Source organism: Homo sapiens, chromosome 5 (assembly GCF_000001405.40).
Source record: "Homo sapiens chromosome 5, GRCh38.p14 Primary Assembly".
Classification (NCBI taxonomy): Eukaryota; Metazoa; Chordata; class Mammalia; order Primates; family Hominidae; genus Homo; species Homo sapiens.
In genome coordinates this window covers 57,291,265-57,305,459 of record NC_000005.10, presented here as the reverse complement: position 1 = coordinate 57,305,459, position 14,195 = coordinate 57,291,265, and the positions used below count along the sequence as shown (strand labels likewise).

Sequence of the window (14,195 nt, the reverse complement as noted above, 5' to 3'; positions counted from 1 at the left end):
TGGGCACACCTTCTAGAGGAGAGCCTGCAACAGAGGCAGGAGCCATTGTGAAGCAGGTGTCCATTGGCACTTGAAGTGGATACCCAACCCTGTGAGTAGTGAATTATTATTGTCCATTTAGCTTCTTTATAACTCATAAGCAGGTGAGTCCTAGTAACACACACGTGAGATATTTAGGAATCACCATAGAAAACTGAGATCCCTGGGAATGTTGTTACTGTAGTGTATTTACTCTGCACAGAGACACAAAGATCAATTGTTCATCTGACCAACTTTTCCCTCCAGAATTGAATGTGACATTAAAACACAGAAATACTGCACAGCCTTTATTTTGTGCTCAAAACACTGTCAAAGGCAACTCCTAAACAAAACAGAAGCCTGTGGAGAAATAGGATTCACAATGTAAGTAGAAATTTCTCACTCGTTTTTTTTTGTTGTTGTTGTATTTTAGAAAAAGTCTAATGCAAACATGAGGCCAAGTTCTGGTAAAATACAGTAAAACAGTCATTTTAGCATGTTTATGCTATAGATTTCAGTTTTAGGCCAATGACTTGATAAGAATGATTTAGTTGTTTAAAACATGGCACTAATGTGTTCTGCCTTTAGGGCATGTCAAAACCTAAAACATCACCAGAAATAAGATGTTCTATACTAATTAAAAGGAATAGTGCTCTTAGTCTAAAAGAAAATTTGTGATTTCCAAAGGAAAAGGTACATGGATTAAACGAGTTCTTGCTGTTTTTTAGTTTTGACAAAACAGTTTATTTTAGATCTAAACATCCCACTGTCATACTATGAGTCTAAAAATTTTTGTATATTTTAACTAGAAAGAGAAACTAACCAAAAATAAAGAAGATAAACAGATTCACTCAATAAAGTCTCATTTTCCAAGCAAAAATACAGGCAAACTGTAAAAAAAAAAAAAAAGCAGAAAAAGCAAAAGCCTAAAATGTTTGCAGTTCCAACAGTTTCAATGTACCTAAATGAGTATTTGTAAGAAAAGGAAAGTCTTGCTATCCAACGAGAAGAGCACAAGTCAGGTGGCTCCAAAATTCAGGTGGCTCAGCTCCTATCCCAGTGATACAAACAGCATCCAGCCTAAGGAGCTGATTGTAAATGAAGACTGATCACATTTGGCTCACACCTGAGCACAGTAGCCGTGTTCTATTCTAAGAGGCACACGTACTAACCCATTTCATCTTCACAACAACTCTATGAGGGAGGCAGTGTCGTGACCCCTGTTCTACAGGTAAGGAAGCCAAGGCACAGGGAGTGTGCCCCCTGCCTGTCACATAGTGGTGGGCCCCAGACAGGAGCCTGTAGGCTCTCTAAGTCCTCCAGAGCAGGGCTTCCCAAAGTTTGGTCAATGCACCTGCCCCAGGGAGGAAAACCATTTGTTACTGAATTGTTTCTTGTAGTAATGCAGTCTCTTTTTTTCAAAGCAGGAGTGAAAGTTTATTTAAAAGCTTTAGAACAGTAAGGAAAGAAAAAAAGAAAAGAAAAGTACAACTTGGAAGAGGGCCAAGTGGGTGGCTTGAGAAACCAAGTGTGCCAGTAATAGAAAGTCTTCTAAAGCTTTGATAGCAATTTGACAGATTATTATACCTGTTAAAATCAAATAATTTTTTAAGTGGCGCTTGTATTGGATTTTTTCATTTCATTTTTTACAAAGGCAAAAATTTGTTTTTATACAAATATCAGTCTGTGATGGATTGGGAATTTTGTTAAAGCTGTTCGTCCACCACTGAGAGTGTGAGGAGCCCTGATCCCAAAGCTCAGAGACTGCCCAAGTTCAGTGCTGATGAGAAGGACCCGACATCCCAACTGTCTTCAGTAGGAACCACTGCCAATGGCAAAGCATGTGTCCCGGGACAGAGCCACTGCCCCACAGAGAAGGTATAGGGGCTACAGGAGTTAGTGGTGCAGGGTACAAGGATGGCCATCTTCTAAGTCCTCTTTGGTGATCCTAAAATTTCCCCCACTAGTGTGTGTGGAAAGTTAGAAATAAATTGTGCTTCAGCTGCTTGAAGAGCGCTCATTAGAGCATGAATACTAAGAGTGACCCTGACAAGGTCATCTAATGCTTCCCCTTTCCCTTGAGAAGGAGAAACATGAGAAGACAAGGCACCACATTCCCCAGGAACCGTAGCATCCTGCAGTGTGCACCTCCAGACCCATTGCATTAGTCTCTCTGATCCCAAAATGCCTCTCTCAGTAAATATGCTGTTTGTATTCATCCCTCTTGTAAGGCAGAACACAAATGCACCAACCCTTCTCCTCAATCCAGAAAGGAAGGGGGAGTATGATGAGGACCCTCAACATATGAAGCAGGAAAGTCTTAATTTGAGGCCCAAAATGGGGCTGCAAAAGTCCCCCACACCTCAGGGAAGGGATAAGGAGGACAAAGCACAGACACACTGAAGCCAGCATCTCTCCCACTCTGCTTTGTTTTCCTAGAAAGCCAGTCCCAAATAAACTATGATGCAGCTTTTGTATCTCCATGGCCACAGCTCACCACAAAGCCTTACATTTACAGAACCATAGTGGAAAAGGTTTCAGCTGAGGCACTGGGGACCACAGGGGGCATTTTTTAGTGGATGAGGCAGGAGGAAGCTTTGGAGAGGAGTCAGCTAAGGCCAATAATGCAAAGACATGGGTTGTTATGGTTCATGGAAAGTGACAGAGAAAACCCAGAGAGATTATTCACCACTTACAAACTAAAACCAAGATCATCTATTGCTACCTTTAAGAGTCATAGCCTGAAAGGAAAATACCACTGCCCCTGCTTGATAGAGTAGTGATAGCAATAAGGCAAGATTAATATTAAGGCTTATAGCTCTTTACAATTCACAAAGAGTTTTTGCACACATTATCTCATTAATCCTAATATTCATCCCAAAAAAACAAGCAATGAGTTTGATTAATCCTCTTTGAAAAGTAATAATTAGTAAAGAGGAGAAAACTTAAGGCATTTTGTCAACTGTCTTGACCAAGATCACACTGTCAGTAGGTGGCAGAGTGGCAGCTGGCACTAGGACGTCAGATTCTCTTTCCAGGGCAGTTTATGAGTCAGCTATTGATGTGGTTTGGCTGCATTCCCACCCAAATCTCATCTTGAACTGTAGTTTCTATAATCCCCACGTGTCATGGGAGGTACCTGAAGGGAGGTAATTGAATTGAATGGGGGCGATTACCTCCATGCTGTTCTCGTGATAGTGAGAGAGTTCTCACGAGATCTGATTGTTTTATAAGGGGCTTTTCCCCCACTTTGCTCTGCACTTCTCCTTGCTGCCGCCATGTGAAGGATTTGTTTGCTTCGCCTTCTGCCATGATTGTAAGTTTCCTGAGGCCTCCCCAGCCATGCTGAACTGTGAGTCAATTAAATCTCTTTCCTTTATAAATTACCCAGTCTCAAGTATGTCTTTATTAGCAGAGTGAGAATGGAGTAATACAGCTACTTAATTCAATTTTACTCATTTCTTGGCTTATGTGTCCTAGGACATCTCATTTTGTCAACTACTGTGAAGTCACTCTGACTTGGAAAATAAATAATGATATTAATGTAACCTAACCAAGTACCTATTACCATACTAATTGGAACACACCAAAAATTGTGTGTGTGTGCATGTGTGTGTCTGTGTAGGTCTGCTTGGCATAGTCTGTATAATCTATCTGGCAACTTTTTACTGGATCAGAATTCAAAACTGACTCATAAAGACCTTTATATCAACATATTTTTGATGAATATCTGATGAACAAATGAATGAATGTCAGAAGGAATACTAGCAATGATCTAGCCTGGATGTTCACATCCTGGGGAGCAAACCAGAATTACCTGGGGGTCCCCCCACTATTACCACCACCACCACATGCAAATGCACACTGGGGGCCCACGACTGGAGATCGTGAAACTACCTTTGCAAAAGTTACAACATTGAGAAAATCATGACAGTGAAAGAGACCTGACCTAACCAACTCCATCTTGCCTTTAACCTCCAAACAGCCCTTGGTCATTCCTGGGCATGGGCCGAACTACCTTTGGGAGAAATTTAGTTTATAGTTCAAATGATAATAGCGCTTCCCAAAATTAAACTACGTTTTTGTTAAACTAATAAAAGGCCACAAGTTTAGGATTATGAGAGGCGCTTAAATTCTGCTAAATGTAGGCATAGTTAAATGATTACCAGTCATTGTTCCAAAGGACACAAGAATTGCAGTTTCCCCAATTATTAGAACCTAAGATTGGCCTTTTAAGATGTCTTTTCAGCCTCTTGCATGTCTGACAACTGGATGACTCCACTTGGACCAGCACCTCCTCTGTGGCCCCCACCCAGAAGTGGACTCAGTGCATGAGAACTGATTTCCCCACTCCCCTGATTGCATCCCCAACAAATCAGCACAGCTCACCCTGCTCACCAAACTATCCTTGAAAAACCCTAGCCTCCAAATTTTCAGGAAGGCTAATTCTGGTCTCCCGTTTAGCTGGCTCTACGTGTATTAAACTCTCTCTGTCATAATTATCCTGTCTTAGTAAATCAACACATCTGCGCAGTGAGCAAGAAGAACCCATTGATCAGTGTAATTAGTCAGGGCTCTCCGGAGAGACAGGACTAATAGGATAGTTGTATATATGAAAGAGAGCTTATTAAGGAATATTGACTCACACAATCACAAGATCAAGTCCCACAATAGGCTGTCTGCAAGCTGGGGAGCAAGGAAGCCAGTCCAAGTCCCAAAACCTCAAAACTAGGGAAGCTGACAGTGCAGCCTTCACTGTGTGGCCCAAGGCCCAAGAGCCCCTGGCAAACCACTGATGTAAGTCAAACAGTCCAAAAGTTGAAGAACTTGGAGTCCGACGTTCGAGGGCAGGAAGCATCCAGCATTGGAGAAAGATGAAGACTGGAAGACTCTGCCAGTCTAGTCCTTCCACATTCTTCCTGCTTTAATCTAGCCACGCTGGCAGCTGATTAGATTGTGGCCACCCAGACTGAGAGTGGGCCTGCCTCTCCCGGTCCACTGACTCAAATGTTCATCTCCTTTGGCATAGACACAGCCAGGAACAATACTTTGCATCCTTTAATCCAGTCAAGTTGACACTCAATATTAACCATCACAGGCAGTTACAAATGTGATCCCGTAAAAGAATATGGAGCATGGTGATCTACTTGCTTCAAATCAGATCCAGAGATGCACTTCTGGGCTCACTTCCAGGCTCACTTCTTCATTTTACAAATGAGGAAACAGAGGTTACATGGTCTGTTCAAGGCCACACAGCTCATGGCTAAATGACACCATAACCCAATACTCTGGGCTCTGATGGCACCTCAGCAGCACTTACCAGAAAGCATCACGTGGTACCAAGGCCCATATGAGTCCTAGCTGATATATATATCTCCCGGGTACTAATTCCCAGAGTCAGCAGAGGAAATAGGCTTAGGTGATTTAGAATAAAATATCTAGCCAAACAAAATTTAGCCTTTGCCTATATGGAACGTCCCTCAGGACAGTGCAAGGTCACCCCTGTGAACACGCTTACTTGAATAGGACCCCTAGAGTTCTCCTATCACCTGGAGGGCAGGAGGAGGTCTTGGCAGAATCTGTATTAACTTAGAGACTGATACGGTTTGGCAGTGTCACCACCCAAATCTCATCTTGAATTATAGCTTCCATAATTCCCACATGTTGTGGGAGGGACCCAGTGGGAGATAATTGGATCATGGGGACAGTTTCCCCCGTGCTGTTCTCGCGGTAGTGACTAAGTCTCGGGAGATATGTTGGTTTTATAAGAGGAAATCCCTTTTGCTTGATTCTCTTTTCTCTCTTGTGTGCCTTTCACCTTCCGCCATGATTGTGAGGCCTCCCCAGCCACGTGGAACTGTGAGTCCATTAAACCTCTTTTTCTTTATAAATTACCCACTCTCGGATATGTCTTTATAAGCAGTGTGAAAACAGACTAATACAGAGACCCAGCGGGTGGAGACCTCCAGCTCCTCATCCCTCAAGATACAGGAAGTGAGCTGTTCAGGCCGCCTGTTCCCCGACGAGGTGCGTGGTTTTGGAGATTAATGTTAGCGGTCTTTGTGGGAGGCACTAGGAGGGCTCCCTTTAAGAAGCCCAGAGTGCGGAAACACTGATTGTGACATGTGAATGTGCTCCATGAGAAGATGGCAGGTATCGGAACGTGTGGAGGAAACTGAAAAGTAAAGACCGCCTAAAGATTGAAACTACCATTCAGGTAAAAGCAGCCTGACAGCAGACATCCCTTTTTAGAGGATGTTTAACAAACACATCACGTGTTCAGGAAAACAATCTTTCGGCCTTACTAAATTTTGTGCAGACGCTCCTCCGAACAGTGGTTTGCTGCCCCCTAGTGTTCGTTTTTTATTAAAAAAGTTTAACACACCCTGATTAGTCTCTTTCCTTTTCTTCTCAGCCTCTCCAAAGAGAATCATCTCTTGACTGTCACTGCAATAGCCAAATTAAACCACAAATTATGTGAAATTAAAAGCATGGGTGTTTTTATCAACACAGAGCCCCTGTATGACAGTTGTTTAGAACAGAAACATGCTCTTTTTGCCTCTCCTCCAGCCACCACCCACTCCACTACCATGATCAGTAAGGTGGGAAGGAATCCAAAGGGCCATAGGACAAAGCCAGAACCACAAAAGTCACCCTTTCTGTCCCTCCAGCAGGGACTTTTTAAGGAGAGGGCAACTCCCTATCTGAGGGAAGCCATTAGCTATCCCGGAGGTTTCCAAACTGGTTACTGGGGGAACAGTGTCTAAAACACATAGTTCTGAGTCTTAGCCCCAGCGCTGTCTTTTAAAACATTTTATGTTTTTATATACAAAAAGCCTTCTTGTATTCTTTGTATTTGCATTTTAACAATGTGCATATGTCATTCCATATATACGTTAAAATTACTTATTTAAGAAAATGACTGCTATGGCATTTCTTGTTGGACACCAAATTTAAACATTTTTTATATGCTGCACTATTAGGCAAAGGTGATACCGATGCTTTCTCTGACGCCAGGGAGTTTCCAAACCGTGGAAAGCTCTTTGGCCCCCTCTGCTGGTGAGTGATACACTTGTAAAAGAATATCAAAGTCCACTACTGGTGCCTTAGCCAAGAACCTCACCTAAGCTGACAAACATTTGTTGAGGAGTTTCATTTCTGTGAAAGATCCCATTAAGCTCTCCGGGTGTGTTCTACATTCACTGCCTAAGTCAGAGGAAGAGCCATTTCCACTTCATGTTTCTGTAAATTCTAAAGGCCTTTTCTTTCTTCAGCCAATATTTTCATATGCTCAACCAAAATCTTTTCTGAAACTCAGAGATGCCTTTCTCTCATGCTGGAACTATAAATAAAACACCAAATACAGGTTGAGCATCCTTTAGTCGAAATTCTTGGGACTGCTTGGGACCAGAAGTATTTGGCATTTCAAAACGTTTTGGGTTTTGGAATTCTTACATTACACTAGCTAAGCATCCCCAGTAGGAAAATCTGAAATGCCCCAAGGAGCATTTATTTTATGCTGGCCAGCATTCAAAAAGTTTTAGATTTTGGGCCTTTTGGATTTCAGATTTTGAGACTAGGCATACTCAATATGTAGTAAATTTGTAACTTTTTCTTGCTTATCAGGTAAGTTCCAGGGGACAGAAACAAGCTCTCTGAAGACTCTCATTAATCTTTGCTGTCCGAAGCTACCTTCTCCATCTCCTGCTCACCTGGGAGGACTCCCTGGAGGAAGCCAGGAAAGGTGAAAATCCATGTATCTCTTCACATTTGGAGAACAAAGGGAATTCAAGAACAATTTTATGGATTTTCTTTGTTTTTTATTAATTAAGACATGCCTGTTTTAAATTAGACAATAATTTTTTAAATATCCTTCAGATTATAAAATGTAAATTGTCATGGCCTCTTTTAAAGGCAATTCTACAGAATATACTGTAGTCTCTTTTTTTTTTTTTTTTTTTAAGTTTTTTGTAGAAGTGAACTCTCACTATGTTGCCCAGGCTCATCACAAACTCCTGGCCTTAGCAATCCTCCTGCCTCGCCCTCCTAAAGTGCCGGGATTACAGGCGAGAGACACCACACTGGGCCTGAATCTACTTTAAAAATATTTTTCAAATGTCATACACTATTACCCAGCAATTTTACTAGTGGTGTCTCTCCTAGAGAAACATAAACATGCGTTCAAGGAGGCTTGTACACGAGTGGCCCCTGTGGCACTGTTTCTAATAGCTAAAAAATAGAAAGAGTCTTAACTGCCCGTCAGTAGAGGAATGGCTAAATAGATGGTTATTTGCTAAGGCATCCTATGCAGCAATTAAAAAGGGATTAGAGAGTTTACATTTACTAACATGGACACATAACAAAAAAAAGAACCACTGTGGAGTGAAAAGGTATATTATAGAAAGATCCGTACAACGTGGTAGCATGTATTTTAAAAAATTCTGAATTCTCCCCAAGTACATATATAACCATGCAAATACACAGAAAATCTCAGGAAAACCACATATAACGCGGGAAGAGGGCCAGGAGTGGTATTTAATAGGGCCGGCCTTGGCTCTAAAGTTTTGTTTTCAAATGTAATGTCTTTGTTAATTACTTGAGTAATTTAAAAAGGTAACAACCTCTCCACCCTCATCCAATCACACCTTCCCAAAAGTAATCACTTTTAAGAGGCTTTCATAACTTTCTCTATGCTCACACAAAGATACACAAACACAGATGTGTTAGCAGCAGTGAACCCATATGGGTCTGCAGCAACTCAATTCTTGCCTCCTCAGAGCAAAGAATACATCCAAGGAGCATAATGCAAGTTTTTTGAGCAGGAGTGAGAGTCTATTATAAAAGTTTTAGAGCAGGAATGAAAGGAAGTAAAATACACTTGGAAGAGGGCCAAATGGGCATCTTGAAAGATCCAAGTGCCCCGTTTGACCTTTGACATGGGGTTTTATATATTGTCATGCTTCTGGGGTTTTGTGTCTCTCCTCCTTTGATTTTTCCTTGGGCTGGGCTGTCTGCCTGTGCAATGGCCTGCCAGCATTTGGGAGGGGCTGCATGTGCAGTGCACTTACTGAAGTTGTACACATGTTCATTTGAGGCATTTTTCCCTTACCAGTCAATTGTTCCTAGAGGAAGGTCATATACCAGTTAAACTCTGCCATTTTGCCTCTTAGTGCACATGCTTGAGCCCACTCTTCCAAATCCCAAGATCTTATTAGGAAGCTGCTGATCACTAGCTTCAGGTATTTTCTATCTGTTGGAGACTGCCTTCCCCTGGCACCGCTGTGATCAATTATTATTGTAGAAAGACAGTTTAACAACCACCTGGCCATCATCTGATGGTCGCCTGACGTTCCTTTTGGGGGGCTCTCCTGCCCTGCTCATGTCTGCCTAGCTACCTACCCTAACATATGCACATATACTTTTTTCTCTTGTTTTTTAATTTTCTAAAATAGGATCAGACTATACATAATATTCTATAATTTTCTTTTTTTACCTAATAAAATTTCAAAGATTTCTCTTCAAGTAATGTATAGACATATTGGATTCTTCTGTTTTTTGTGTTTTGTTTTTGAGACGGAGTCTCCCTCTATCGCCCAGGCTGGAGTACAGTAACATGATCTCAGCTCACTGCATCCCCTGCCTCCCAGGCTCAAGTGATTCTCCTGCCTCAGCCCCCCAAGTAGCCGGGACTACAGGCACAAGCCACCACGCCCAGCTAATTTTTGTATTTTTAGTAGAGACGGGGTTTCACCACATTGACCAAGGTGGTCTCAAATTCCTGACCTCAAGTGATCCGCCCCCCACGGCCTCCCAGAGTACTGGGATTACAGGTGTGAGCCACTGCGCCCAGCCGGATATATCATAATTTATTCTAAATTTCCTTATTTTTGAAACTTTCCATTGTAGAAACAACTGAAGAAACAAGTGATTTTTTTGCTACCATGATACATGTATATGATATATAGACATGTGTCTTTTTTTCTTTTTTTCTTTTTTGAGATGGGGTCTCACTTTGTCACCCAGGCTAGAGTGCCATGGCATGGCTCACTGCAGCCTTGAGCTCCCTGGCTCAAGTGATCTGCCCACTTCAGCCCCTCAACTAGCTGGGACCACAAGCACATGCTACCATGCCCAGCTAATTTTTTTTAAAAAAGACAGAGTCTCACTCTGTTGCCCAGGTCGAATTCCTGGGCTCAAATGATCCTCCTTACTCAGCCTCCCAAAGTGCTGGGATTGCAGAGGTGAGCTACTGTGACATACATGTGTCATATATACATAATATGGCTGCAAAGATTCAGATGTATATATAGAAATATATACTCATATGAAATAGCAAAAAGAAAAAATAGAACTACTTATCTTTATATTCTGGCACTTTTTTCTGGGGGTGCTGGATCAAAGTGTTCAAATTTATGATTTTATTAGATAATGAGGCTATATTCCCAAAAGATGCATATTCCCACCAACAGTGCACGAAGTCCTCATTCTACCACCCACTCACCAGCTTTGGATGCTACCCATCTATTACCAAATTTGAGATTTGGAAGGGAGTCTAAGCAAGATTGCCCATTACAACTTCCTTGTTTTGCAAGTGGGAAAGCTAAGACCTAAAAAGATTAAGTTATTTACCTAAATCATGCAGCTACCTAAATAATTGAATTGGGAACTAGCCTGCAGGTTCACCTGCCTAGAATCTGATCCCCCTTCACTAGTAACAGCTCCCTGATTTAAGGGATGTGGAAGGCAGAATCATGACCCCCCAAAGATGCCCACTTCCAAATGGCCGGAATCTGAATATGCCACCTTACATGACAAAAGGACTTTTCAGATGTGATTAAGTTAAGGGTATTGGAATAGGGAGATTATCCAGGTGAGCTCAATGTAATCACAAAGATCCTAATAAGTGAAAGAGGAGGAGGAGAGTCAGGGGGAGGAGAGGTGAGGACAGAAGCAAAGATTGGAGCAAAGCGACTGCTGGCTTCCCAGGGAGAAGAAAGCCATGAGCCAAGAAATGCAAGTGGCCTCTAGAAGCCACAGAAGGCAAAGAAACAGACTGTCCTGAGAGCCTCCTGAAAGAACACAGCCCTGCCAACACCTTGATTTTTGTCCAGTAGAACCCATTTCAGATTTCCGACCTCCAGAACTGTAAGATTAACAAATCTGTGTTGTTTTAAGCCACTCAGTTTGTGGTAAATAGTTACAGCAGCAATAAGAAACTAACATGGGAGGAAACACCACTGCCTACTCCCATCTCTGTAGCTTGGATGGGACCTAAAGAAAAGTCAGCCTAGGGCAAATGGCCCAGGCTCTGGTGATCAGCATATACACCATCTCAGGCCTCTGTGATTGGAAGATCTTCAGTATTGACCCATGAAAGTCAGACTCAAAACTTGTATTGGAACTAACTGGAAAACAGAATTTCTATTTTTCACTGGGCTTTACTGGCAAAAAATGTAAGCTTGGGGCTGCCTGGGGCCACCATGAGTGGACAATCTGTCTGAGAACAGAGTGATACAGAAAGGGACAGAGCTGAGAAAAGGCAGAAACAAGTCCCTCCCCTACATGTTATTTTAGAATTTGATCCATCTGAATGTGAAGACAATTTCAGCTTGTTTTTTATCATTTGTAGCCTAAAAAATGTTTAATTCAACAAATTCCCAGTCATGTGCTTTCATCATTATGATTCTTTCTGAAGATCATTTTAAGTTTTGTTTCGTTTTGAGATGGAGTCCTGCTGTGTCACCCAGGCTGGAGTGCAGTGGTGTGATCTCAGCTCACTGCAACCTCCACTTGCCAGGTTCAGGTGATTCTCTTGCCTCAGCCTCCTGAGTAGCTGGGATTACAGGCGCCCGCCACCACGCCCAGCTAATTTTTGTATTTTAGTAGAGATGGGGTTTCCCTATGTTGGCCAGGCAGGTCTCGAACTCCTGACCTCAGGTGATCCGCCCACCTCAGCATCCCAAAGTGCTGGGATTACAGGCATGAGCCACCATGCCCGGCCTTGTTTTGTTTTTTTTGAGACAGTTTCTCACTCTGTTGCTCAGGCTGGAGGGCAATGGTATGATCACGGCTCACTGCAGCCTCAACCTCCCCAGCTTAAGTGATCCTCCCACCTCAGCCTCCCAAGTAGCTGGCATGATAGGTACATACCACCACACCTGGCTTTTTTTTTTTTTTTTTTTTTTTTTTTTTTTTGTAGAGACCAGGTCTCTTATATTGCCCAGGCTGTTTTTTGAATTCCTGGGCTCAAACAATCACCTCACTTTGGCCTCCCAAAGCACTGGGATTACAGACATGAGCCCCCACACCTGGCCAGTTGTTTTTAAAGACATTGATATGCTAGAAAACTATACAAAACAGAGAACTAACTACCTGAAAGCATAAAAGAAGTAACTATTTGATAAAGTAGTACCCAGGCTCCCAGGCTACTGGACTCCTTTCCATGAGTAGAATAAGAAGGATCACGTTTCAGTTAAAAGCAGAATGAATTTAAGTTTGACAGAAAAAAAAATTGAATGCATAGTTGGTAAGATATAAGCATATTCTAAAAGTACAATGTTCTGCAGAAAATTTCAAGATTATGCAGGTCATGTAGAGACAAATGTATACCCGAATGAATAGTACCTCTGGCTCTTTGTTCTGACCCTGGAAAGAAAGTTCGTATTATGGCTGTGCATGGTGGTTCATGCCTGTAATCCTGGCATTGGAAGGCCGAGGATCACCTTGAGGTCAGGAGTTCAAGACCAGTTTGGCCAACATGGTGAAACCCCATCTCTACTAAAATACAAAATTAGCCAGGCGTTGTGGTGGATCCCTGTAATCCCAGCTACTTTGGAGGCTGAGCCAACTGGCTGGTTCATAACATGAACCAGTTACCAGCCTGGTGATCCACAGCAAGGGGGACCACTTGTTTTTGTAAATAAAGTTTTATTCGAGCGTGTCCATACCTACTTGTTTATATATTGCCTATGGCTGCTTTCTCACTACAAAGGTAGAGTCGACTCACTGCAACAGAGATCAAACGGCCCACAAAGCCAGAAATATTTATTATTTGGCCCTTTATAGAAAAAGTTTGACAACCCTTGCTCTAGAGGGTTTCCTCATTCTGGGTCAGGCTAGAGAATACCGACTTCACCAGAAGTATAGTTAGGCCAGCGTTGAGGCCCATACAGATATCCTCACATCAAACCAAACACGCCATAATGCTTGCATGGAGTGGACTCCCTTAATATACAAATAGAGCGTTAGTACCCACTATGTGCAGGCACTATACCAAGTGCTGGAAGTGTAAAGATGAAGAGTTTCTAGTCCCTGACATCTGCGAGCTCTCTGTCTCTTGGGAGAGAGATCAACAAACACAGCATAACATAAGGGACTGGAGAGTTATCTATTTAAATGAAACAATGAATGCTTGGCACATGAAACAGCCACAGGCACTTTTGAAACCTGGTGAAGGAGAAGTTGAATCAGGGACACATTTAGTTTGGGTTTAGGTTTTAGTGGGACATAGTTATGTTAGTTTGGGTTTAATGGGACATATTCATGTTATTCACTGCCAGTTATGTATATACGAAAGTTACTGCTAGCAAGTTACTCTTGCTGCCATAGTGACAGGGTCAGGATTCAGACCAGAGTTTTTCCAACTCTGCTGTTAATGACCTTAATATTTCCGTGATATTCTTCAACTGGTTAGGAATCCGTCTCAGGCCTTTGGGTTCTTTAACTTAAAATATGATCTCTCTTCAGCACAAATAGCACCTGGCTCCAATATACTTTTTTGGTCTCATTACCCACCTGCTGCCCTGCAGGTTCACTCTTCTCAGGCCCTCTGCACCCCCTGCTTTTGCCAGCCCACCCTCTGCATAGGCTCCTCCTCTGCCCGATCCCATGTATACATTTCTTGTTAATTTATTGCTGACTTTTTAAATGAAATACCTACTTAAAGAAAATACATAATTTATAACATTTTCCTACAAGAACTGTGGCAATAAACTGGTTAATAAGTGTCATCATTTCAAAGATTATTTAATATTACTTACTGAACAAGAAAACTTGAAATGCCTAAGACCTAACAGCTCACTTATATGTAAAACACACTTGATAGAGGGTTTCTCAAAGTTAACAATTCTGAAAGTTTACAACTCATTAAACTGAAACTTTTCTTAACGATCAATAAT

The 14,195-nt window shown here is 42.1% G+C and overlaps 1 long non-coding RNA gene across 1 annotated transcript; it reads left to right on the top strand.

Annotated features, from left to right (window-relative positions):
* The first annotated feature begins 3,275 nt into the window (after nucleotides 1-3,275).
* Nucleotides 3,276-9,540, top strand: LOC107986381 (uncharacterized). The gene is made up of 2 exons (XR_001742513.2): nucleotides 3,276-6,235; nucleotides 7,645-9,540. It is a non-coding gene; the product is annotated as an uncharacterized LOC107986381 (long non-coding RNA).
* The last annotated feature ends 4,655 nt before the right edge of the window (nucleotides 9,541-14,195 follow it).